Source organism: Homo sapiens, chromosome 15, assembly GCF_000001405.40.
Source record: "Homo sapiens chromosome 15, GRCh38.p14 Primary Assembly".
In the NCBI taxonomy this organism is placed as follows: domain Eukaryota; kingdom Metazoa; phylum Chordata; class Mammalia; order Primates; family Hominidae; genus Homo; species Homo sapiens.
This window is the reverse complement of record NC_000015.10, coordinates 87825812-87827852: the sequence shown is the minus strand read 5'-3', so window position 1 is coordinate 87827852 and position 2041 is coordinate 87825812. Positions and strand designations below refer to the sequence as shown.

The following is a 2041-nucleotide window of genomic DNA, read 5'->3' as shown; positions in this document are numbered from 1 at the left end:
CTATTGCACTGTACATTTGTTAGCAGTACCTGAGCCAAATGCGTTGCTGATGTTGTGAGTTGTCTCAGCTGCTTTGATTTTGAACGACCCATTTTGAACTCTAATAAGAAAATCGCTTGAATTTGCTTTTTGTCTAACATCATTTCCATAGTCTAAAATATACATAAAATAAATGGTAGGTAGTAAGTCAGCAAAAAACCATAAAGCAAGAAATGCCCATTAATATGGTGTATCCAATATCAAATGGCAAAGTCCAACAATGTAAAAACCGTAATTAGTTTTGCATTCACCTAATAATAGTCTCATGTTATCTTTTCATGACACGTCTATGGAAGGACCACCCTGGTTAGGTGCTCACTCTGGTACTGTCAGCTGGGTTAAGGAAAAGGGACATGTGCCACAGAATATGGCTGCCTAAGCCTGACCTTTGAGTGGGTGCTGGCATTTCACTTAGAAGGCACCATGGCTATGCAGGCTCCAAAAGTCTACTACATGGTCTAAACTCTAACATTGCTGAGGGATGACTCACAGGACCAAAGATTGGAAATATTTCAGCAAGCTCCAGTAGTACTGGTTGTATACCTTTTTTTGCCATCCTCCAGTATACGCACAAATACTTCATACTTTTCAGCTACTCTAAGATTACAGGGTTGTTCTCTTAAAGTCACATGCTTCTGAGAGTCACCATTGCAGATATTCCCTGTCCGGATCAATGGTTGCCAATTCCCATCCAACCCCACTGTCCTAATACCTCCCACAGCAAAAGAAACTGAGACTGGAGCAAACCCAAAATAGAGTCACATTTATGGAAGTCATTTGGACGAACAGACCAAAGAAAGGCAAAGAGTCAATGGCTGCTAATGCTCCTGTGACCATATTTACCATATGTACTGTATTTCAGCAACTCTTAGAAATATAGTTACCCAAATCGAGGAGAATGGGTTTTGCTGATGGAATGGACATCCCTGAAGTCCTTTAGTAGCATGTTGAGAAGGTGGTCCTTCTGCATCTATGTGTACAGACAAAAATCCAAGAAGGAGACTAAGATTGCTAGAATCACATGCAGCCTGATCCTAGGAGGATCCTACCCCCAACAAGAGCTGGAAGGCATGAGAGACAGTGGCACTGACAGGGCTTGGGCAGAGTGAGATCAGAGAGCAGGCATCTTGGAGCCGAGCTGGGCAGGGCCCATGCTCAACTGTGCCATCAGAAGGGGATTGAAAGAGAATCCTCCATGCGAAGGGGAGGCATGCTGTGTCAGCAAGAGCTGTTTAAATAGATTTCCTTGCTGGCAGGGTGCTAATGAGGTGTTAACACAGGGGAGGGAGGCAGGCGGGGCTTTCTGGAAGAAGGAGCAGATCTAAGCAAGGCTTCAAAGGAGGTGAGTTAGGAGCCTGAGACAGCCGCCCTGCCCACCTGCCCTAAGTCAATCTGAAGGCTCTCTTTAAGGGAGCTGAAGAGGACAGTCTGGATGTTCTGAGAACAGTTCCTCTTGTTCTCTGTCTCACGATCTTTCAAGAATCCTCCTCCTTGTTCTTTAGAAGCCAAAGTGCTCACTATTGTGTTCAGGGCCAAATTCCATCAGAGACTCTTTGTCTGCACACAGAGGTGGAAGGCGGGCTCACTCGTCACTCCCCATCTTGCCTCACATCACAGAGGTGGGCTCCGGGGCCTATTGCCTCCCAGAGGGAATCCATTTCCTGGGCTCCTGCTTCTTACTTGTCAGAGAAACTACAAAAGGCATACACTTCCATAGCTTTTTCCAGCTGGATTTAAAGTTTTAAAAAAATCACTTTAAACTTTCTCTTCTATGAGGCTAGCAAGATACCTTTGTTTATGTCTTTCCATTTTAAGGACAAAAGGAGTTGGAGTCTATTAGATCAAACTATATGAAAGTCCCATTTTTGTAGGTCAGAAACAATTTTATATATGTGATATCACATAGTTCCGAATAATATAACTGCCTGGAGCTGGGCATTGGATGGACTGGAACTCAGAATGCTGGGTTTTCTCAGGATGGTGTGTACAATGCACTGGCTAG

The 2041-nt window shown here is 44.2% G+C and overlaps 1 annotated feature.

Moving 5' to 3' along the window:
* Positions 984 to 1707: an enhancer, noted in NCBI's record as "NANOG hESC enhancer chr15:88369377-88370100 (GRCh37/hg19 assembly coordinates)". NCBI's record gives its function as "activates a minimal SCP1, AML or CMV promoter by ChIP-STARR-seq in naive H9 embryonic stem cells {active_cell/tissue: H9 hESC(naive)}" and the evidence as "EXISTENCE:reporter gene assay evidence [ECO:0000049][PMID:30033119]".